The sequence below is a fragment of the Homo sapiens genome, chromosome 12 (genome assembly GCF_000001405.40).
Source record: "Homo sapiens chromosome 12, GRCh38.p14 Primary Assembly".
Taxonomy (NCBI): domain Eukaryota; kingdom Metazoa; phylum Chordata; class Mammalia; order Primates; family Hominidae; genus Homo; species Homo sapiens.
The window spans coordinates 68,312,915-68,337,477 of NC_000012.12; the positions used below are offsets into that span (position 1 = coordinate 68,312,915).

General features: G+C 38.2%; 1 protein-coding gene and 1 long non-coding RNA gene across 17 annotated transcripts in view, besides 2 other annotated features; one reads left to right on the forward strand and one right to left on the reverse strand.

Moving 5' to 3' along the window:
• The window catches only part of MDM1 (Mdm1 nuclear protein), a 37,797-nt gene extending 18,349 nt beyond the window's left edge, over positions 1-19,448 (reverse strand). For 2 of the 16 annotated variants that reach the window (NM_001354969.2, XM_011538569.2), the window contains exons 1-12: positions 19,314-19,448; positions 18,193-18,307; positions 13,743-14,107; positions 12,527-12,661; positions 10,159-10,326; positions 8,611-8,714; positions 8,433-8,532; positions 3,667-3,696; positions 3,164-3,339; positions 2,034-2,351; positions 730-839; positions 529-638 (exon numbers count right to left, since the gene is read on the reverse strand). In NM_001354969.2, coding sequence (NP_001341898.1) covers positions 529-638; positions 730-839; positions 2,034-2,351; positions 3,164-3,339; positions 3,667-3,696; positions 8,433-8,532; positions 8,611-8,714; positions 10,159-10,326; positions 12,527-12,661; positions 13,743-14,107; positions 18,193-18,307; positions 19,314-19,331 — 1,749 coding nt within the window. In that variant the 5' untranslated portion in view covers positions 19,332-19,448. Of the gene's footprint in view, positions 1-528; positions 639-729; positions 840-2,033; positions 2,352-3,163; positions 3,340-3,666; positions 3,697-8,432; positions 8,533-8,610; positions 8,715-10,158; positions 10,327-10,430; positions 14,597-18,192; positions 18,308-19,086 lie in introns of those variants that run through there. The other 14 variants (NM_017440.6, XM_047429162.1, NM_001354971.2 and 11 more) reach the window with 13 other exon arrangements.
• Positions 18,999-19,088: an enhancer, noted in NCBI's record as "active region_6634". NCBI's record gives its function as "activates an Ori minimal core promoter by ATAC-STARR-seq in GM12878 lymphoblastoid cells {active_cell/tissue: GM12878}" and the evidence as "EXISTENCE:reporter gene assay evidence [ECO:0000049][PMID:35858748]".
• Positions 19,389-19,648: a silencer, noted in NCBI's record as "silent region_4646". NCBI's record gives its function as "represses an Ori minimal core promoter by ATAC-STARR-seq in GM12878 lymphoblastoid cells {active_cell/tissue: GM12878}" and the evidence as "EXISTENCE:reporter gene assay evidence [ECO:0000049][PMID:35858748]".
• On the forward strand, positions 19,717-24,274 carry LOC105369819 (uncharacterized). Its single transcript, XR_945057.3, has 3 exons — positions 19,717-22,900; positions 23,571-23,637; positions 23,942-24,274. It is a non-coding gene; the product is annotated as an uncharacterized LOC105369819 (long non-coding RNA).
• The last annotated feature ends 289 nt before the right edge of the window (positions 24,275-24,563 follow it).

Sequence of the window (24,563 nt, forward strand, 5' to 3'; positions counted from 1 at the left end):
ACCTTTTTCAGATCCTGCTTAAATGCCACTCTCGCACCGAGGACTTCCCTGGCCACTTCCTGTTCACTTCAGCAGCTTTATTTTTCTCCTTAGCACTAATCAGTATCTAAAATACTATGTATTTTACCTGGTTATTTTGTTTATTGTCTCCCTCCTCCACTAGAATGTAAGTTCAATGATGGCTATGATTTTTGTCTGTTTGTTCTCTGCTATATCCCCAGCACTTAAAACAATGCCTGGAACATAGCTGGAATACAACTGTCACACAGCAGATGCTCAATGAAAGTATTGCTTTCTTTATCTTCCTATTGAGTCACTACTGACAAGGTTGAAAGTGTATCAACAAAAACGTAATGCTTCTAACAGAAAAAAAGTCAAGCCTTTTGCCTTACTAAAAGCAGGTTAACAGTATCATCTCCTCATATGATAGCCACAATTCTCTAAAATCTTAACCCATCATTCATTTATTACATGTGTCTACAATAATTAGTCCTAGATGAGATGCTTTTTTCCCCAAAACATGTTTACCTTAGTAAAATCATTCTTTGAAGTTTCTAAACAATCCTGAGAGGTCATTCTTTTCCTCTGTTCTGGGGCTGGAGGCTTCATCTTAGATGGAGACACTAAAACAGCACCACCTGGAAAAATAAAGATGACAGTTTCAATTACACTAAATTAACATGTAGAAAAAGCAGGTTAAATAAGAACTGCACGGTGTTTGCCGATTACCAACAGCTGGAGTAGTGAGATCATGATGAGTCCTCTGGATTCCACCAAGTTCTCTCAGCTTGGGAGTAGGAAGCCGGCCTCCTTTTTCTGAGGATACAGAAGAATCTGACCTATAAATTGAAACAATCTATGAATCTATACAGCATTTCCTCGAGAAAATATGATAAAAAATACTTTGCCATCATTGTGCAATAATAAAGTATAAAACTTGTAAGAGGCCAGGCGCGGTGGCTCACGCCCGTAATCCCAGCACTTTGGGAGGCCGAGGCGGGCGGATCAGGAGATCGAGACCATCCTGGCCAACATGGTGAAACCCCATCTCTACTAAAAACACAAAAACAAAATTAGCTGGGTGTGGTGGCGGGCACCTGTAGTCCCAGCTACTTGGGAGGCTGAGGCGGGAGAATGGCGTGAACCCAGAAGGCGGAGCTTGCAGTGAGCCGATATCGTGCCACTGCACTCCAGCCTGGGTGACAGAGCGAAACTCCGTCTCAAAAAAAAAAAAAAAAAACTTGTAAGAGAAGGCCATTTTGTTTCTGAAAAAAATAACCACCAAATCCACATGCAGTTAAAAGCGACTGAAATTTCCAATAATGAATAGAACTAAGCACAAGATCAAAAATAAAACAGAACACTGAAAAAATAATATAAGCTATATCAACTATATCAATAGAAGAAAAACAACCCACAAAGAAAAAAGTGACTGAATACTGGATAATGGGGAAAATCACTGCCAAGTCAGCACCGGCACAGCAGAGAATCCTTCCTCACATCAAGGCTCAAGTTCCATAACATCCATGAATGAATAAAGGATTTAGATTATAGACAAAAGGCACTATTATCATAGGTGGAGAAGAGCCACTCCCCAAAGCAATTTACACATAAAACAACAGGAATTAGCTATTTTCAGAAATCACTTTTTAAAAAATATTATAAAACATTATCTTTTTTGGTAGAATCATCTGATATTAAAGAACACCAGTTTTTTTCTTTAAAGTCATTCTTCCAGACACATTTGCAAATCTGGCACACCATAAATTATAGGACGTAAATGAAAATAATCCTAACTACTTCCTCCCAAAGTAGGCCAGAATTCAAGTATTCAATTACCAATCACTAGTGACTTAAATACCTGAGTGAATCAAATTATTCACCATACAGCAGTGCCTCCTTTGTGACATTGAAATAAAATCTGCAATTTATTAGTCATAAAATCAAAAGAGTAAACCACTATATTTAGTGACAAAATACATATCAACCATGTAAATAACGCTTCTCTATACTGAGTAATTTAAAACTCTCACCCTTCTTTCATCTTATCTGCCTTAGATTTCTCACGTACATCCAACTTCTCTTGCTCTCCCATAAAAGCCTGCTTGCCCGTTTTCCTGTCCCCTTCCTCTTCATTGTCGTCCTCCTCCTCTTTCTCCCCGGGCTGTTTCTGTACGTCTTCACTTGTGTTCTCTGTATCCCAAGCCAGCCGCCTTCTAACGGGTATGGTGGGAGCTGACACACCCAATTTCTCCGTGGTATTTTTCTGGGGCTGTTCTTCCACGATATTTCCTTTTTCTTCTGGTTCTGTAGAAGGACATTTCTGCAAAGTCTTATGGCTTGTAGGATCTCTGCGTAACAAAATCAATTTTATTTTAAATGTGAATAGTTTGCACTTTTCTAATCAACACCAATTTTAGTGAGTCCATCATTTCCTTCTACTGTTCACAACTACATGTTTTCCATAGATATTGCCTTGCTCAGGTATTGAAGAAGGAAATCTAATTCGTTTTATAGCAAAATAAATGAAAGTCATAATCTGGAGTTTCTATTAAAATATTCCAAAATGTATTTATCTTCTTTTACTCCTACCTTCACATATGCTTGTGTACATCTGCTGACACAAGTCATACCTAGCCCTAAACTGGCATTTACACACATAAACTAGGACCCCATGGTCTAAGTTCTTCAATTACTTTCACTTACAGATAATTAAATCATGTTCATTTTAACCCAGAACAGCAGAGCGCTCTTCCATAAAATCAGCAGCCAAGTTCTGAATTAGCCACAAAATCTATTAATGAATAATAGCTATGTATTAATAGCTTGCAGTCTCTACTTTTTTATTGTTGTTGACTTTCTTTTTACCTTCTAAAGGTCTTTTTACATCTACCATGTAATCATCCCTACTCCGCTATTAACTGCCAACAAAAAATATTATAAAAATCTAGCCTTCCAGATTTACATTATGTGTTATTTATACATAAATAAAGCAATCTACATTGCTTTATTTTTCACTGAGAATAAAAATGAAATAAATGGCTGCCACAATTCCATTCGACTAGGAGACACATTTTGAGTAGTCAGGTCATTTTCCTATATCATTCTATGATCTACATAAGCTTCAACAAACTTTTTTTGCCATCCACAAAGAATATCTCACCCAGCAAGATCTAATGCTCTGATGTTGCTACTAACGGTTCCTTCTGAGCTTGTGGTTGAGGAGACATCCCAACAGCAGTTGCTATCAGATAAAATCTGATTCAGATGGTCCCGAGAAAAATGCGTCCCCTGAACTCGCTTCCTATAAAACTCAGCCTTTTCTCGGAGTTCTTTAACCTATTCAGGAGAGTTCAGACATCATATACTATTGTAAATGCTTCTTTACAAACAGCACCAAGTAGCATATCAAAGACATTGCACAAATACAGCCAGGGACCAAAGACAAAGGAAGGCAAAATTAGCCACATACAGTCATCAGACTGTGCATTTAAGCAAAAACTAAAACAATCAAGCTAAAGCATGATGCAGTTATTTTATTTCAGACCAGCAGGCAGGGAGAAATTCATAGCAGCTAAGAAAAATATTGACACCTACTTTTTATTCCAACTGAAATTACACAAGTAATCTATGATTATAGTTTTTAAAAACTCAAAAGCAACCAACCTCAGCATACCACATGGCATTTAGAGAACCCTAGAGAAGGAATACAGAAACACACTTAATGATAGGTTAATGCCATAATTGAATATTAATGGGAATCAATGAAACACATTATTCTCCCTTCTAAATATCTACCAAACTTGTCAATCAATATTTCTTGGGATTTTTAGTAATTAGTTCAGTAACCAAGATACCTTATTATTATCTTGAAAACCAGCCACATTCTTGCATGGCTAGGATGCTGCTGATGACAGATAAATTAGGCAATCTAACTATTATTCCTATTTCCCTACCTCTGGAAGAGTACTTACACGCCAAAAATCCCTAACCCAGCTTTATTTCATGGCTTTGTATACAGCTACTACTGCTACAGAAGCCCTCACTGGGAGATGAATGAGGTTATGAGGCTTCCCTCTCCAAATTCCTCAATATTCCCTTGGAATCAGCAAAATCTCAACTTTTTTTTTTTTAAAAAAGTACTAAATATATAATTTAAAATAATAGCCCATAAAATCATAATTGCAATGTGTTCAACAAAGGGACAGGATAAAAAAGTTCTGCTGAATAATAAAGTGATATGAATTATTTAATATGCAAGTAACATTTTCTGATGAAAAAAGCAGCCTTCATACCCATTTGAAACCTTTCACTTTATACATCATACTGCCACCTGCTGGCTTCTCCAAGTACAATTCCACAATGTAAAAAAAATTAAGTTCAAGTTTTACCCTTAAAATTCTGTTCAGTATCTTTATTTAATCTCAAAAAACACTAATTTTTTAAATCATCAAGACAGAAAATCTTTATTCTAGAATTGCTTTTCTTTCAGGGCAAAAAAAAAAGCAAATAATGAAACAGCAATGTAAAAGCAATTGTAGAAACATAGCTCCTTAACAAGGTACGATTTTGAATGCAAAGATGAAAGTGTTACATCTCTAGGGAATTGGCCAAAGCAAAAGACAGCACCTATATGGCATAAGAAACCATATAATCCCAACAGAGTCCTACTCTAATGAACCATACCTGAAAAAAGTTCCTAAAGGATAATTTGAAATATTTTCTTCACTGCCAAAAAAAAAGCTATGTTCATTTATCATTTCTATCAACTCCTATACCTTTAAAGAAAATTTCTAGCAGTGGTTTTTGCATTTAACAGGTAGAAGTGAGGTACATGAATTAACTCTACTGAACTTCTAACCAGGGTATTCTGAATGCACAGGAACCTTGTTATAAAGTGCCTCGATATACTCCAGATTTTATTGCCAGTAAGTGCCCCCATGCTTCAAATGTTTCAGGGCCACTCCATCACCTACATGCCTCAGCATCACTTCCTCCTCTGTGTTCTCAGAGTTCTTTGGGCACATCCCCATTAATACATATTCAATTTTACTGGAATTAATTGCACATGCCCTCCTCCTCCATCAACCTATGAACTTCTTGAGGTGAGGGAAAACGCAGCACTTAAGCACTGAGCCCACAACCTGTCCTGAGTGCAGACTAAGTGGTATGCCTGAGCTAAACATGGCAGCCAAAGATAAGCAAGAAACTCCCTGCACTCAGTGAGCCAACCTGTACATAAATTGTCATAATATTGATGGGGGTCTATGCCATAATAAACAAATGAAATGAAATGTAAGTTGAAGGAGTAGTTCAAAAGGGGGACCAATCAGTCCTGCACTGTGTTGGGTAGATTGACGGGGCAGTGGGGGTGGAAGGGACAGCAGAGGCAGCTGCATCTATCCATGCATGATGAATGAAAGGATGGATGAATACCCTCCATGTACACAGTCATCCAGTTTTATTTGACGTCAATTTTATTTAGAAAGGAGGGGGAGAGTATACTTCATAAAAATTCTGAAGACTTTGATTTATTCAGTTCTATTTGTTACTGACATTTAAAACTAAGTGCTTTAAATTTACTATATCAACAATCTTTATTAATCTCAGTGCTAATATTATATTTTACAAATATGATTTTAAATATCTTTAGCCCTAAACTAAGATGAAAAATTAAAAGGCTGACATTTTCCAAAGTAGTATGTTCTACTAAAAAGAGGAGGAAAAAAATCAATAGCATGAACTCAATGTTAAATAGAACAATCCCTATAGCCAACTGCCAGAGCCACCAAAAAGGATAGAAATAAACCATTCCCAACTCAACAACATACACACACCTTTCTGGGCCAAGTAATGTTATCATATTATATATTATGATACAATTATAAGTAGAATGTTTCCTTTTCTGAATTTCTTTGTCCAAATTAAGAGTTCAACTAAATTATTTAAAACATATGCAGAAAATTCAAACTCAAGAAACTGGGGATAAAAACTCCTTTTACCCAAAAACCATCCCCCCAAAATGAGGGGTCACTTTATACCTAGTCTTTACAATGTCTGTCAAATTACAGGACATCTCTCAAATGCAGGACTTTATCTTGAAACACAGTCCTATTTGTGGAAGACACATTGGAATAAAATCACCTCAACCAATCGATGATGAAAAGATTACCTAACAATTAAGAAAAAAAGAAGTTTAACATAGATTAAGTAGTTATTCTGAGGATAGAACCTAAAAAGTTCTAATTGCTGACTATTAAGAAACAATCCCTTAAGTGAGCATTTTAAAAAGCAATAGTCAAGTGGTTATTATAATGGAGATGACAAATACACAACCACTGGGCAAATAAAACCAACCACCCTAATGCTCTATGAGAGGTAACTGGGACTTGGCATAGAATTTCCAGTGACTAGACTATAAACAGATTCAAAAAGTATATCTCAAACATAGAAAGAAATAAAGATGATATATGGACTCGAAAACTAATGTGACTCAAAAAGTGAGTTAATATTCCAACAACAAAGTCACTTATGTCTGAGTGCATGTGAGGAGTGTGAATACACTCCTTCCTGAAATGTTAGGAGTGGGAAAATGAAGGAGTACTGTACCTTATATTTAGGAACCTCATAATCAGATGCCTATAGTAAATGACTTCCAAGAGATATAAGTAAAACATGGCTCATATTAAATGTCTATAACCTGGTCAACTAAAACTGTTATCATCAATGATCACTGACTTCTTAGCTAAAAATTCTTATTCTTTTCCAACTTCAATTTACTTTTTGAATTATTTTTCTCAAAGAAATTAAGGCAAACTATACCACTAATTTAAATATTTACAACCACCATTATAGTATTTAATAAGCAAAAAAAGCTGCATTACCAAGATATCATAATAGGAAACCTTGAAAAGTCTATCTTAAATTGACAACAACAATGTTCTCTTCCATCAAGGCAGGATAAGGAATCTCATCTTACTATGACTTCAGTTTTAACAATCTTCTCAATTAGATGTTTAGTTCTGATGCCTAAACTCATCTTAGTTTAAAGAAATCGCTGCTCGGCCTTTTGGCTGAGATCAAGCGTAGAAATCTCAGAGAAAACACAGTCTTCAAAACAAAGAGTTTCTCATAACCTCAACCTAGTGTCACGCCTAAACACAACAGGCCAGCGGCTGACATCAATTTACCAGCCACACATACTGTTCTGCCTCTGTCCTGCTTTTCCTCACTCCCACTATCAGACTCCTCAGTCAGGGAGATCTTTGCCAAGACTTGGGATGGTCATAAACTGCTCAAGAGTTTAGCTGACTCACTGCCTTTCTTCCATCACGGGTGCTTTCGATGCTCCTAGTTTTAACTTGATTTCACTAAGGTGAATATATGAACATTGCCCCAGATAATATCCGGGACAGCTTTGAGCTTTGTCTTTTACTTTGCCTGTGCTGTCTTCAGGCCGTGCTCAAATAGAGAAGTAGAAAGAAAGCAAAAGAGTGGCCACGGTGGAAGGAATCAAGTGACCTCCTGAAACAATATGCAGACAGCATGGCAGTCGCCAGGACATATGTCTGGGAGCTGCAGCTCAAAGAACCAGCAGCTCAGCGCACCCGAGCACCAGCCCCTTCCCCCAGAGGCTGATTATATATAATTGTGGGCCATGGTTTTAAGTAATGAGCTAAATAAAAGACTCATTCCCCATCCAAATTATCCTTCTGTTTACAATGACAGGGGGAAGTGGGATGTTTACTTATGTCTAAACAGAAACATTTTAATTTAGCTTGTTCTCACAGAAAAGGCAAAAAAAAGTCAAGATATGATTTGAAAGATGCTAATTAATACAATAACAAAAAGGTTCCATTCTCTATCCTTTGAGTATAAGAAGCTAGTACTAAAGTAGCAATTCTCAACTCTAGAATTACCCTTCCCTTCAAACCTATCTTCAGATCCCCAGAGTTTCTCCCAAGTCAGAGTACCCCAAAACTGTAGCTCACACCTCTAACAACACAAACTTCACCTTTCTTTTGCCTACAAACTGTAATAGTACACATTGACAATGGGCATCACTATCAGATAAATTATTTCATCTTGAAAATTAATCTTCAGTTGAGACAGTGGAGGTCTGGAGGTTATGAAATAATCGAATCTATAATGATACAATTCTATAAATTGACTATTAACACAATCAAATGTTTGATGGTAAAAAGCATTAAACTTAAAAGACCTCAATAAATATTAATTTCTGAAGAGCCAGTGGCATTAAAAAAAATGATAATTTACATTCTAATACATAAGTTCCTGATACTATTAGTGCTATTATTATATCATACTTCTTTAAATTGTGGTCTCTATTACCAAAAGGAACTCGTTGTGAAATTAAAGTGTTAACAGAGGCTGAAAGAACATGTAGGCTTATTGAGGTCATGTACACTCACCTGATTTGGCATGTTTCCCTTTACATGTGTCCAAGCCCCAGCTTTATATAAATACTGAGCTGGGCTCAGAAATTTTGCTCTATATTCGGAATTCACCTTCCTAATAGAAATGAAATGAAAGTAAATATTTCACCATGTTAATCATTGAAATACCATATTTTCCTATTAAAATACATACCCAAGCCTTTGATGTTTCCAAGGAGTAAGCTTCCTTTTAGGCTGGTGTAAGTCTTTTAATTCCATCTCTGCTTCCAATTTTAAACGATCGTCTATTTTATTACTCTGAAATGGAAATCATTTAAGCTTTTTATGCTTAAGATGTTACACATTAAAGTGAAAACATGCATGTTATAAAGTTAGACTTGAATATTTAATGACATTTCTATTTTTAGAAGCTTTAGATACTAAAGAAAATAAAAACCATAAGAAATCAACAAAGAAGTTTTGAAATTTTTAGTATATTTGGTTAGTTATTTTTGAAGTTTAGCTGAGGATATAGTTTCATTTTCTAACAATAAAGATTTTAGATCTTTGGCTAAGGAAGAAAATTTTTAAGTTAACAAATACATATCTAAATAATGTTACCACATACTGAATTTGATATTCTAAATTTACAATTGCGTTACAGTAATTAAACATAAGATCCTGATGAATTAGTTACCAAATCGCTTTACTGAATAACAATTCTTTTTTTCTCCAATAATATCATAGGCCTAATATATGTGTGTGTGTATACATCATTTTACTTTTAGTCATATTTACTTGTAATTACATACTTTCTATTTTTAGGACCATAAAGTATCGGGTATCAACATTCCAGGAGATTCAAAAATAGTATTTATACCCCAATTACCTGTAATTTATAATCATGTTAGCCTGATTCTGCAAATTAAATGGCTGTAATATCACACAGAAGCAGTTGTTTGTATATTCTGAGGTAAATCATGTGAATTATACTGGCTATAATTTGGCATGCTAAAGCTTTGGTTTAAAATACATGTGATGGCCGGGTGTGGTGGCTCACACCTGTAATCCCAGCACTTCAGGAGGCCAAGGTAGGCGGATCACCTGAGGCTAGTAGTTCGAGACCAGCCTGGCCAACACAGTGAAACCCGCATCTCTACTAAAAATACAAAAATTAGCCGGGCATGGTGGCGTGCATCTGTAGTCCCAGCTACTCAGGAGGCTGAGGCAGGAGAATTGCTTGAATCCGGGAGGCAGAGGTTGCAGTGAGCCGAGATCGTGCCACTGCACTCCAGCCTGGGCGACAGACCAAGACTCTGTCTCGAAAAAAATAAATAAAAATAAAATACATATAAGTATGTATGTGTTTAATTTCCATAACTTAAAATAAGTATTTCTATCACTACTGTTACCCCTGGAGGTTACTGTAAATCCAGTCATTTGATATTAAACTTACTTGACTTTGATACTAAACTTATTAGACTTACTTCCTGTATTGTTAAGTACTCATCATGCTGTATCATTTTTATTTATGTCTGTCTCCCCACTAGCCCAAGAGCTGCTTGGGGCTATTTGCCAGCCTTGTATTCTCAGTACCAACCCATGTCTGCTCCTAGTAGCTGGCTCAATGAACATTTGATGAACAAATGAATTAATGAACTAGTGAAAACCAAAAACTCCCAGGTGGTAGTAAGTAAACGAAAACGTGGAGAATCTAAAATAACGGGGATTTTGTTTTGTAAGGTTAAAAGTTGATGAATACCTTCCTTTCAGGAGACACTGTTTCAAGATTTCTGTTTTCTCTCAAATCATTTCTTAATTTTGGTTCTTTCACTGGAGATAAACCCTTGAAATTTCTTTTGTATTCAGTTTCATGGATGACTGAGTTACCTTTGAATGGTGGAACAAACTGGCTTTTATTGTGGAAAACCTTAAAACAAAAATTATTTTAGTTTAGTTTTGTTGATTAAATATGCGGAACTTTGGTCTTCAATTACTTAACAAAACATAAAGTTGAATTACAGGACAAAAAAATAGCAAAGTTATATATGATTTTAATTTCATTTCACATATATTATTAACATCCAAAGGTCAACTTTATGTACTCATTACTATGTTTTGAATAACAGTTTTGTAATCAAAATATAGCTTATAATCAAAATAAACGTTGGCATATTTTCATATGACATAGACATTAGCTTTAAGGCAACTCTGTTGTCAGTTCTACAGGTTTTTTTCTTCCTCCCTGACATGATTTTTTTTCTTCCTGCCTTAATAGAAAATTCTTCACATTTCTGAATACCCAATATGTTCAATTTGTTTAGCTTTTCTTCCCTTGGCTTATTTTCAGCGTATTTTATTAAGGCAAAGAAAATGTTCTGAGCAATTACTACACTTCTATTGTTAAATATTTCCTTTTATACTTACTACTTCACAATATGGTTTCTATTTCACGGCATATTACCACTGATTACAAGGAAAGCAAATGGAAAAGATGGGGAACTCAGTCAAGTTATATTACTGCTTTGTAATGCTGGATAGTACATCTTCATACAGATCAGATCTAAACAGTTTATCTTTTTTAGTACAGTATAACCTCAAGGACTTTACTGCCAAAAACTGTTCTGACTCCTTTACATATTAATATAAGACATCCTTTCAGAAAGCAGGTGTCTGATAAAATGAAATGAACAACCCTTTTAGAGGTTTCCTATCAACAAGCATTGAAAGCTGTCTCAAAGCTCTTCAATCCATAGACTCTGAATTCAATATGCTTTGAACTAACCATGAGCATTTCCTTCTAAAAAAAGTATGTGAAACACTTATTAAAGAAAGCAGTAAAACTACTGAATATATCGCTAGTGATTTCTCTTATAAAAGTAACGTTTCTACACAACGCTTTCACTGACATGTAAAAGCCCTATTTGATGATGATAGGGCTTTGATTTGAATCAGCTCTATTTTAAAGGTCAAATACTCTATAAAAAACTGAATAATTACAATTTTCAGGTTGTAAGTAATGTTTTAGGTACACTTAATCTCCAAAAAAACCTGTAGGCAAGCAAAAGAAGTACTGATCCTATTTACTAGGTTAATAAAGGGTATTTATCACTTTGTTACTTCACAGATTCTTAAAATGTTATATAAATTTCAAAGGTATTTTAAAAATTGAATAATAATTAAGCCCAAAGCTGCCACAATTTATAGGATCACTGGTGTTTTTCTATCTTAATGTAAGATGACTAGATGTTATTGTCTTGCTGAATCTAATTATCCTGTCAGTTCTTACGGCTATACAAAATATACAAGTGAATGTTGACGTACAGGAGAAAATGAATGTGAGGGTGTGTGAAAGTGTGTGTATTTATAAAGAAAAACACGAAGACCAGAAGAAAAAACAGACTAAGCCATTACAGGTCTCTGGGGATATTCCAAGTGGAGGTATTTCCTGTCTATGCCTAGAAGTACTGTTAAGAACATAAATGAGAGTTTAAAGCCTAAGAACTCCCTAAAGGATGAAGGTAGTAAAACAACAGACTATCTATTAGTAATGGTATCTCAATACTAAAATTGTGCAGGAGTATAATGAAATCTAATACCACATCATTACAGCTTTTGAATTTTACAAATATAGTTATACTGACAATGCCTATTACTATTTGTCTGATACAAGGACAAAATTACGTATCTTGTGTTACTGTCAACATATTTTGTATTTATTAAATATTCAAAGCAGTTACGCCTTTCTTAGAATACAGGAAACACGCAATATATTAGTCAACAAAACACAACATTTTAGAATAAAATCAATTTAATAATTTTTTAATAAGTAAAAAAATCTTGTAGCATGCAAAAACTTACCAGTTCCCCAAGTTTTCATTACCCTGTCTCATATTTAGTATATGTGCTGCATCTGGCAACAATGATCATCAGAAGCCTAGGACAGTATAATATTACTACCATAAATCATAAGTAATAGGATGATTTTAGCAAAACTCTCATTTTGGTTTTCTAGAACCTACCTCCAGGCTACTTAAGTACTTAATTTCTTTCAACTCTTAATTCTATGTAAATCTACATTACTAGATAAGATAATGGTACTCAGAAATGTATTACATCCATTAAGCTACCTGATTGGCTGCAAAAGCTGGAGCAGTTTCTTTAGAAGTCTTCCAAACAAACTGCCTTTGATATTCAGAATTTCTCAAGGCATTATATGAAGGAACAACAGTCAATCCAGCTTTCTTACGCAGAAGTCTATCCAACTGTTCAAAAAACAAAATCCACTCAAAGACATTAAAAATTTCTATTCAAACTTTTTAAAAATTGTGGTAAAAAATGCATAACATGAAATCTATCCTCTTAACAAAATGTTAAATCTACAGTGCAAAATTGTTAACTACATGCGCATTGTGGTACAGCAAACTTTCTTCAACTTATAAATAGTATCTTTTTTCAAGTGTCAAACTATTTAAAATTCCTTTCTATCAAAGGACTATTAGGCATCCCAGGAAAAATATAATACTCTCAGTCCTTTCCTACTAATCATTCATAATTAAATCTATTACCAAAAAGTCCCAGCACTTTGCCTCACCTGCACACTGCTTCTATGAACACCCCTTCTCCTGCCTGCCAGACTCACACATCACCTTCCTTGTTCCCTTTCACCCCCAGCTTTTTCAACAAGCTACAGATTCTTCTCCAACACTCTGAAATGCCTCTTCAGGGTCCCAGTCAGTGGTGGACATGAACCAGAGAAGAGCAGTGGAACAGAATGGAGAAAGAAATGTGGAAAGCATTGAGATCCCCACACAAGTTCCTGCAGCCTCTGCTTATGTGCTCACAGGGACCTGCTGCAGGCCAGCTGTGACATAAGAGAGCAGAAATGCAAGATCTCTGAGAGACAGCCAGAGCTCTCCTTCCTTTTGCATTTCATCAATTGAATTTCTGTTTGTCTTCTTGTACACGATAAGAAACTGAAAAGGGGCTAGGTAGAAGTCAGCTCAGCACCCTGCCAGAAGTAAGGGCCTACTTCCCTTCTCTGTCTCAACTTGATCTCTCCCTTAGGACTCAGGTGCTAATATATGATGAATAAAATCCAGACGCAGGAGGTCCATCCAATAAACAGATTATCATAGTACAACTACTACAAAATAGCGAGTAGTCAGAATAGAACTAATTCACAATAACTAAAGTCAACAGCCTGTTATCAACTATTCTTATAGACATTAGACAAGAAAACAACAATGGAAAATTCTGAAACACAAAATGTAATATTACAGAAATGACAATGAAACCAATGAAGAATTCTATGCTTTTGAAAAGAAATGCAGTGAATATGCCTACCCCATTATCTACATTTTCTGAAAGAACCTTGGTAGAATGTTCCAGTTCCACATTTTCATTAACTGGTGTATGGTTTGTTACACCCTCATTATTTTCCACATCTGAAGCCCCTTCAGCTCTGGAGTCTGCAGAGTGAGATCTGGTTCTTTTGGGAACCCTGGAAGCTTCTAGTGAGTGAACTCTTTCTTGAGTAACATCCTTTTGTTCTGCTTCTTGTGATTTTGGTGTTTCCGGGGCTTCTGGTTCTGGTGATGCAACCACATTGCTCTCTGAGATAGCTCCATTCCACTCCAGAGATTTTGAAATCTGTGGGTCATGGTAAGGGACTCTTCTTTTTGAAATAAAACTTGGCTCTTTCGTGATGCCTACAAAACACGGTATACAAAAATAGTAGCTACTAAAGCAAAAAGTTACAAAGACAACTTTTAAGAACACTTGTGGAGGAGAAATGAAATTTTAAATTTAGTTCAGATATATGTACCTATATATACACACAATATCCTTCAGATTATAGGATTTTAAAAGTACAGCTTTTCAACATAAAATATTTAATTTTGCTTTTAAAAGCATTAAAAATTTGACCATAACAAAAAATTAAAAATCAGGGGGTCACAAAATGTTCCAGTTATCCTAACAAAAGTCACTAGAATTGCAACGTGATAGACCTGGCAGGCCAGGCAGTACATGCTGCCTCGTTTCTAATTACTTTCCTGTGCTACTTAACAGAACAATGGGCCCTGGTACTGTCAAAATTTGGAACTTTTCACAAAGCTTCTCTTATGTGGAGCAGACCAAGATGAGAAGGGATGAGATGTCACTGTGCTGGATCTTGGTTCTACATCTGCCTTGATTTCCTGAGAATTAAAAAAGAATAAGCCCTTTTAACAACAGCTAAGATACAATTTCTCTATATTTCTGTATGGAAAGCAAATGTCCAAAAACTTAACCTTCTATGAAGGTAAGAGCAGCTCTGCAGAATGACAGCCACTGAGAGACTGCCCTAGTTTAGGGCCATTCTTTAAGACAGTTGCAGGGTGCAGAAGGAAGATTAAGACCAGAATGGAAAGGGAAGGTGGAAAGAAAATTGGGCATGAGGTAAAACCCAGGGCTCCTTAGCCTCTGTTGTAGATGTCTTGGCCATGTCACCCCGGGTCCTTATCCTTTTAAAAGGCTTCCCTAGACCACAGGTCTTCTCACTGGGTGGATATCTGTCTGGAGGCACACAAAGATGTTTTAGGAGGGTAAACAGAAGTGGGCAGCTTAAGGGAATCATTTTCCAGATCCTCAACTCCACATGTGCTCTCTTGCCTGATGCTGATATATCTGCCTGAGAGCTGCATCTGCCATCTGCAGTTCCATTTCCCACCGCCCCTTTCATAATCTCCTTTTTCCCACTTTAGAGAAGAAAGACACACCTCTTAACCAGCCTGAAACTTACTCCAGTGCGTCCGCCCAAGGTAGAACAAAACCTCAGGGGTAGGGAGCCAAACAAAGGGACAATTCAAGAAAGCATATCCCTGAGGGAGAATATTTGACAGCAAAACAAAGCAGGCAGAGATTAGAAATAACAAAGCAACAGCATCTTATTTCATATAGCTCCATGGATTTTCCATCTACCTTCTCAGTATTAAAATTCAGATATGAGAGGGATGTCATGTGAAATGTACATATGCATATAACACATTTACCTTAATTAAAGATAAACAGACTTTCTCACAGAAAATAATTCTAATTTGGCCGGTTAGTTTGCCAATGAATACTGACTTTGCCAATTGTATGATAAACATTTTCCAAAAATTGAATGGGCTAAATTGGCAACTCCAGAGTTTTTACAAAATATATGTAAAATATATAAGCACTATGCAATATACCAGAAATTCTATCATTCAAAACTATTCATAAAAATTTATTATAAAAAATAGCAATTTAGAAATGTGTGACGAAGCACAATGTTTTTCTAAATTTTTCTAGGAAGTATAAAAGCAAAAAAGCTTGAAGATCACCAATTAGACTCCTCTCTGCTTTAACACAGAGGCAGGTTTTTGGTAGAAGCACAAAATGAAAGAAGATTCTCAAGTGGTCTGCCGCTGTCTCCCAGCACCAGCAAATCCCCAGGGTAAAAATACACTACTCTAAAAGAAGGGACAGCCATCCTCGGTAACACTGCTGTTGTTTTTTGCTAACCTCCCACCTCCCATTCTGAGCATTCTGGAATTCTTGCTCAGTCCCTCCCCATGACCTAAAATTCCCCACTAACGTTCCTCCCCTAGTCCATTCCTTCCTTCATTATATACCATGCTCTAAGGTGGCTTTGCTCTCATGGTCTCATTTCATCACCTTCCCCTCAAATGCAGCTGATCTAAGCTGAAATGTTATTGGACAACTACCCAGTTTAATGAATTTTCCAGTGTCATAATAGCCCTGTAGGCGCTCAGCAGGGTGGGATATCTATGCTTAAACAGAGATTTATTTGGATTCTTAATCTAATGGAGGTTCAAATATGTGGAATTTCTGGTCATTTGTAAAAAGAGGATTATGAGCAGAGGGATTTTCCTAGCACCCTGCCGGAGAAGCAGGGACACCCAGTCTCTGAAGTTTGCCGCTGGGTCAGATCATGATGCTTCAGAGGAACTCTAAAAGAGACACTCACTCTTGCCCACTCTTCCCTTTGTTCTCTAGACCAAATTCTGAAAATACCTCGTCGTCTTACTAACTTTCCAGGCTTGGTACCCTACCCATAAGTCTTTTCCTGGCTTCAAACATCTAACATTTATGTGACTTACATGCCATGCTCGCACACATCACATGTGGGACACTAAGCACTGATCTGTGTACTCAAACCAGGCCCTTAATAGGCAACATCTCATTTAAACCCTCCCAGTAATCCTATGCAACAGACTTCCTAAAATCTCACTTGGTGAAACTAGCTCAATTTGCCCAACATCACACAGCTATTATAATTCAAATTTAGGCTAATTCATTCATTCAAAAAATAGTTTCAAGAAGCAATAGAATGTTCCAAGGCCTGTGTTAGGTACTGGGTGGTGAATAAGACAGAGCCCTACTCTCAGAGATCTAATATACTAGTAAGGAAGAATTAAATAAGCAGGTATAATGAGGTCAGTCTGTCTCCCTTCTGTTCTATCACCCTCCGGGAAACTCTGGCCCAGGACTCTGCCTTCCCTGGGACACAGGGAGGAGGCATGTGTGATAACAAGAACATGACCTCTGAAATTACATGCTTTGCACAAAACAGACTTGATTTCAAATCATGGTTCTGCCACTTACTAGCTGTAAAGCTGGGGCAGCGACCTCATCTCCCTAAGCTTCCATTTCTCAAGACCTTGGGAGCACTCTTCCCCAGCATTGTCCCCTCAGCTTTCAGGTCTCAGCTCAAATATCACCTCCTCAAAAAGAGCCTTTCCCAACCATCTAATCTAAAGCATTTTCCCTCCAATCCACTCCTCCCGCATGTTATGTATCACACTTCCCTACAATTTTATATAAAAACCTGAAATTCCCTTAATTATTGAGTGACTTGCTTACTGTTTCTCTCCACAGTTAAGGGACTTTGGTTCAGGGCTATATCCCTAGTGTTCCCAGACCAAACTGAGGGTCAGGCTGCTATTTCTCTCGGCCAATAACGAGATGCAGATAAACTAGGGAGAAAGAGAGTTTTTATTTCTATAACCAGTTACGGGAAGAAGGCCTGCAAATTATCACCAGACGAACCCCAAATTACAAAGTTTTTCAGAGCTTATATACCTTCTAAGCTATATGTCTACGTGTAAGTGTGCATTCATCTAAGGATATAAGTGATTAACTTCTTTTAATCTATAACTAAGGTCTGAGTCCTGAAGACCTTCTTCTGGAGCATCAGTAAATTTACTTAATCTAAATGGGTCTAGGTGCTGGGCTGATTACCCTTATCTTGTCTCCTGCTGAATCATGGAGGTTTGAGGAGTTCCTTCAGACCGCCAATAAATTTGTGGAGGCCTGGGGAGTTTCTTCAGACCCCCAGTAAAACTTGTTTAATCCTAAACGGATCCTGTTAAGAATTCCTTATTTTGTCATGCTTTATGGCCCAGGAAAGGCCTAGGCAATACTCTTGATGGGCTTTTGTGACATCCCAGCCTTTGTGTAAGGGCACTGGCTTTTTTTAGCTTTCAATATTTAACTTAACCGCTCAGTCAGTACCGAAACAGTTGTGATGGAGGCCTCCATTAGTGAAACCTGGCCTGCCACACTAGCTGCTGGGAATAGTCCTGGCTCATAGTAAACCTTCAATAAATACTTGATTAATAAATGAATAAATCAACCAGGCCAACTGAACTTTTAATATATCATTTGGTAAACTTAGCCCAAGGTTTACTTAGCCCAAGTTATAACGGCTTGGCCCAAGTTATAAACTTAGCCCAGGTTAGAATGGCTATTAGCCTGCTCAACTTACCTAATTGATCTGATCTAAGTCCAGCCCATGGGTACTTTCGCCCCACGGAGGAATTACAAGACTCGGACAAATAAGACTTTTTCCACAGGAAGTTCCTCTGGTATTCACTCAGCCCCTGTAATGCAAAGTACACTTTTGAGTACAGTCCAATTAATGAATGATGTTTTAAAGCAGACATCGGTGAAAAATAATTTCTGAACCTCCCAAAAGAGACTTAAGACTGAAAATTAAACACAGACGAGCTCCTTAATAAGAGCTAATATTCACCCAGCCCTGTGCTAAGCAGTTCACACGTGTTATATCCTTTAATCCACAACACCACTTGAGGCAGATGCTACCAGGAATTCCAGGCTCAGAGGTTACCCTTTCACTGATTATCTGATTCCAAAGCATGAGTTCTTGTCGGATAACTAATGACAATCTAAATTCTCATCATTCTAGATTTATCGCAGGTTTTCACCGAGTACACAATATTATGTACCATGCCTAGGACCTTTTGCTATTTGATAAAGTCAACAAAAGGCAAACTCCCCTTCCATTCTGAATACACGCCTTTAAGATAAATGAGTCAGGAGATGTGGGACGCTGTGGCCACCTGTGAAGTTGCAGGGTGCTAGTCCCTGACAGCTACCAGCTACCTGGAACTTTTAACATACGCTAAGAATGCACAACGATGAAAAACGTGTATTTCTTTATACGCTGTCTTTACTAAGAACCCATTTCTCAAGCCTTTAAAAGCCACATACACTAAAGTTTTAAAGGTAATGGGGGTTAAATGCTAAGCTAAATGGGCCACAGGTGTCCCAATCTGAAGTCGCCTTTAGTTCTCTTCGCAAAGGGACCTCCTCCCATCTCCACTCCTCTTGAGTCCCCCTAAGTAAATGTGTCTCGCACCATCTGACTCTTCGACACACTGCAGCTTGCAAATGTGAGTGAGCGGAGAGGGAACTAGGTTAAGAGGCGGCGGGCAGATTCTGGGGCCCCTCGAGCAGGCCCTGGGGCTGGCAGCTTCCGCCGGGCAGAGGGCTGCAGCGCAGAAAAGCAGCGTGACCTCGGCGCTCCACACCTCCCCGGCCATGGCTCCCCCCAGCCACATTCCGGCCCGGGGACCCCAGCCTCACCTTGAAGCGCACCGGCATGTCGCCCGGCGCCGGAGCCCCCGCTACTCCGACAGTTAACTGGAGAAAAAGCTCCGAGGGGGCGGGGCGATAACAGTGTTCCCTAGCAAAGCCTCGGCCCGGCGTCCCCGACTACGCGCCGGCGCACTCCGCGCTTCCCGCCTAGAGGCCTGTCGGTCTGTTTTTCCCCGCCCTTTTTGGAGCCTAGGGACCAATAGAGACTCGCAGAGTGCCTTACCTCCATTAGGATTTGACCAATGAGTGGCCGAAAGGGAGCCGCCTACCTCCCTTGCCAAATCCCTGGGGCTGATAGAGATGGCGGGCGGAAGGCCGGCCAATAAGGCTCCCGGAACCGGGCTGGGCGGGACCCCGGGGGTGCCTTCCTGGGTTGGGTGGACCGGTCCCTGGTTCGCCGGGTCCTGCGCAGCAATGCGTCTGCTTGCTGGTGGAATTCGCCAGCCGCCAGCCTCGCTGGCCCAGGTGCTTGACAGCATCAAAGGTCAAAGTGTGTTCTTCATGCTAACATCTATGAGAAAACCGAACGCTTCTTTTTCTGAAAGTGCTCAGATTTATTCTGCTGAATATCGGTTCGTACAAACGACAGCCGCATTACAGTTTATTGTCACATCAAAAGGGAAAGGCCAAAAAAATATATAACTTAGGCAAGATTTTTGAAACTTTATTGAAACTCGAAAGACAAACTGCTGTCTCTTCCTCCAGTGATGTTCTTCCTCCTTCAATCTCTACCTTCCCCAAAATGATGTACATACAGCCCTTAGATGAGAAAACGTTTATTGAAGATGGTTGTCTCAACTTCCAAACCTTCAGCCTTGTCTCTCCGCTCAACCTTTTTTTAAAAATAAAACTTCATCTGATTTTAATCGACTATTGCCATCATCGTCGATAAATGTTTCTTGACAGAATACTGCTGATTCTGAGAATTGGGAAAGAAAGAAATTGTCCAGATAGTTCTCTGATATACTTGGGAAGGACATACATCTTTATTTATTTATTTATTCATTATTTATTCAATAATGGTGTAATGTGACATGTGCTAAATTTCTAAATGAAAGGTGTCAATAATAAGGGCTACAGGATCTGGGAGCAGGGAGTCATTTCGGACGGCAGAAGATGCGTCAGGAGGAAATATTCAGACTGAAAGGACTGCAATAAGTAAAAAGTGGGACGATGAAAGGGCAGATGTCTGAATGGAATGCTGCCAGGCTTCTTCCAGGAACAACAAATGAGTGCCTTTTACATTTGTCATGTGTTGACTGAATAAAAGTATACCACTCTTAAACTTTCAAATATCAACACCAATCCTTGATGCTTCCCTTTAAGCATTTTCCGCAAAAGCTGTCTTCCTGAATCCTGATTGATGTCTTTGTTCTTCATCATCATCGAGATACTTAAAAATCATTTGAAGAAGCCACCTGATATCTGGAACAAAGAGCATATTAAATTAGTCCCAATGCAGCCATGCATCCAGGGGGCCCTTGATTAATGTTAATTGGTGATGACAGCATCTCTGTCGTGTAAATTAAGAATGGCACAAACAAGACACAGTGGAACATAGAACAAAAGTCATCTGCAGGAAGGCAGCCCATCTTACAGAGTAAGAAAGGCACAACTTTGGTTGTGCACACAGCTTTGTTACCACAAAATGCTAAGGTGAGATCAGCAAAAGCAAGTGTGTAGAATGTAGCCTGCCTGCTAAACAAGCGCAATGATCACTGCAGAAGAGCTCTGCTGAGCAGGGAGTAAATGACAGGAAAACCAAACAGCAGATTGTAAAAATAACTCAGTCACATCCCAGGCTTGCTAGAGAAGTATCATAAAGACTTAAGGAAGAAGATTTTACTTTGCTATTGTTAAACAAAAGCCTACCCAAGTTTAAGAGGCAAAGATATAGGAATGGGAAAAAAAAAAGTGACTACCTTAGTAAATGAGTTTTGTAGCCTGTGTTTTACCAGCTCTTATCTTCTCTGCTACTGCAGGAAACAGTACCCAGTACCCTACAAAGCTCCACCCATGTTTTGGGGAGTCCCTAGGAGGTATTTCACATGTGCTCGCAGCAACCACATAGCGTATGCCGGGCAGCACTGCCCCTTGTTCCAATAGCCATGCATCTGTAGGTGTCACTCTTGCTGCTGGCTATCACAGCCACTTTAGCTTGGTACTGAGTCTTCACTGGGCACAGCAACTGGGTACAGCCACTCCTCAAACTGCCTGGCATTGGTGGTAATCTATGGCAAAGCACCTCTCCTTTTTGCGTTACCCTCTTTGAAGTGAGTAACACTATGTCTTAGAGAGCCTTCTTTTCATTTGTGTTTTAGCCTTTCTCATCGCCAAAGGGCTCAAAATGAAGTCCGTGGAGTCTAAGCCAAAAAGTAATTCCTCAAGTGACAGATCTCATGCTATGCTTCTCTCTTCCACTAGCTAAGGCCCTCTTACTGGGACAGTGGTATCACACCTGGCTCACTCTTCCCTTTGTTGATTTCTCTATTTCTCATAGGAATAGATTTCTGTCTATTGCTCGTGAGAGACTGAATTTGCACAACCTATATGAAGGGCATTTTGGCAATTTGATCCAGGAGTTCCTCTTCTATAAATTTATCTTACAGATAGACTCACACATATGTGAAAAAAAATATTCATTTAAAGTTGTTTAATGTACTGTTTCTAGTTACAAAAGGTTGAAAACTACCTAAATGTCCATTTAGAGAGAACTAGTCAAATACATTACGGTTCATCCAAATTCAAAGAGTAGCGCAGGTTGTTCTGCTCCTTTGGGCCTTCTGATCCTGCATGGATATGTTAGGTCCAGCTAGGAAAACAGACCCTACACAAGGCATTTCAACAAAGAGAACTTAATATAAGCTATTGGTTCATTAGCTATTGAAGAACTTAAAGCCAAAAGGATAAAGAAGAGGAACTCCAGGAAGCAGCTCATACTGTAAGGCTGAGAGAACAAAAGGAAAATGTTGAGGTTACTAGAATGCGGAGGTTTGTAGGAGAGGCCTCCTGGAGTTGGTCAGACCGCTGAGAAAGGGCCACTGCCCCACTGGTGGGGTGCCTCTGAGGGGACAAAATGAGACTCTCTGGGAACGTCTGGAAAAGAGACAAGCTGGAGACTGCAATGAACTGCCACTGTGGGGTAGAAGATCACTGTTCAGGTGCTGCGGGGAGGAACAGCAAACAAAACAGAGCATCCCAGTCTTTCCCTAGCTTCCTTTCTTGGCAAACATAACAGGGAGCTGGCCATGTGATTTGCACAGTCTGAAGGGTGAGACTGGAACTGACATGCAACAGCTTATTAACTTGCACACTTCCATACAACCCCTAACAAGCAAGAAGCACCTCTTTATGAGCTAACATAGAAGACTCTCAAAGAAAAGAAGCAAGGCTTAGAAGACTGTTTATGGTATACCATCAGTTGAAATAAAAGAAAGACGAGTGAATAAAAGAAAAAAAAAACTGTCCTATGATGTCGCATAATGATGTCATTCACAGGCACTTTCTCCCTCACTCATGAGTCCAACTCCATTAGCGGCAGCTATAAAGAAAAGAGCATTTTATTCAGTTTACTGGTAAGATATGGAAACTTTAAGTTATTGATAGTTACCACTGAGGCTATTTTCCTTAAATAAAATAACTCCATTGGCCCTTTCTAGATTTATCTTGACATATACCTCACGATAAGGCTGTTGCTCCTTTTAGAGACAAAAACATATCAAAATCCTTTGAGGCAAATTTTATTTGCACTTGAAATATAAAATATTCTCATCTACTACTCATTCTATTAAAAAAGGAAGTTGACCACTTCACAAATTAATAATCTCCTATCATTTTCTCAGTAGCAGTTGAAACAGTGAAGAATTTGTATTTGCCTCTAACTATATTTATTTTTATTTAACAAAAGAAAAGTGTATATGAGCAAACACATCAGACGAGGGTTGAAGAAGGGAGGTACAAAGATGAATAAGACATAGCCCCTGTCTTCAAATATAATTATAATCTTCTAATGGGGGATCAATAAGTACACAAAGAACACAGAAAATAAAAAGAAAGGAGAAAGTGAGAAAGGGGCTAAATGTGAGCACCTTGGTATTCTAAAGATGCTTTTAAACCTGGAGCCAGAAAGTTTGATCTAAGATAGACTATTAAAGAGCAGGCAGGATAAAGGAGCTGAATTTAAATTCCATCCTGGGAAACACCTGATCTAGAGACCTTTCACTTTTTTTGTTCTGCCCTGGGTAGCTGAATCCAAGCCAGATGTTCCTTGAGAAGTTTCAACTAACATTGCTGAAGATCGGTTCCCAAAAAGGTGAATTACTTGCTTTCTGTTGTCTTTTTTTTTCTTGTTGCTTCGGAAATCAGTAAAGCTGTTTTAGAAACTACTATTTTATCAATATAGTGATACACAGCCTTGTGTTTACATATATGTAATTTTCTCTGAAATACCTTACAAGGTAACTGAAATGCCAGTCTTTGGGCTTAGTAATGCTCTTTAGCTCTGTTAACATTCTCTCAGGTCACATTTAATTGGGCTTTCATTGGTAAATCTTGAGCTCAGCCTTTGCCAAAAAGCAATCAGTCTGACAACCGCTTTCTTTTGCATTTTTCCATAGGTATTAGCTGATTTTTCCTCCTATGAATGAATTTCTGATTGCACAACTAAAAAAAATGACAATTAAATCCATGGATTCTGTCTGAGAAGCAAAATTGCTGATACTTCACATTAATGTCAGTAAGAATCGAATAAATAGGTTCTATGATTAAGACTTAGCAATGAGCCAAGTGCAATTTGCCCTCCAGACTTTTAGCCGTGAGATGCCTTTGTTGACAAGGGAGTGTCTGGCTTTTGAATCAGTGGGGCACCTTTTGGAGGGACTCCAGGTTCTCTTGACAACAGGACTTTTTTTTTTTCTCTCTTTTTGGTGAGCCGAAAGGACTCCTCACCATACAAGGCCACGGCTGAGTAAAGTAATTCTCAGTAAGGCATAAACCACTGGCAAGCCTCACATACCATAATAATAATGTTGTACTGCAGCTGCACAAGGTCCAGGGAATACATTTGGGGCACAAAATTTCTTTCATTTTAATACCTTCACTGTATGATTCTGTTCTAAGAATTCCCTTTCCTTTTCTTCATTGATTATTTATTGTCCTAAATCACCATCTCTTTGAAAAGTCCTCACAGGGACGCAGATATTTTCCAGAATTGCTAATTGCTGATTTGAAAGCATGAAT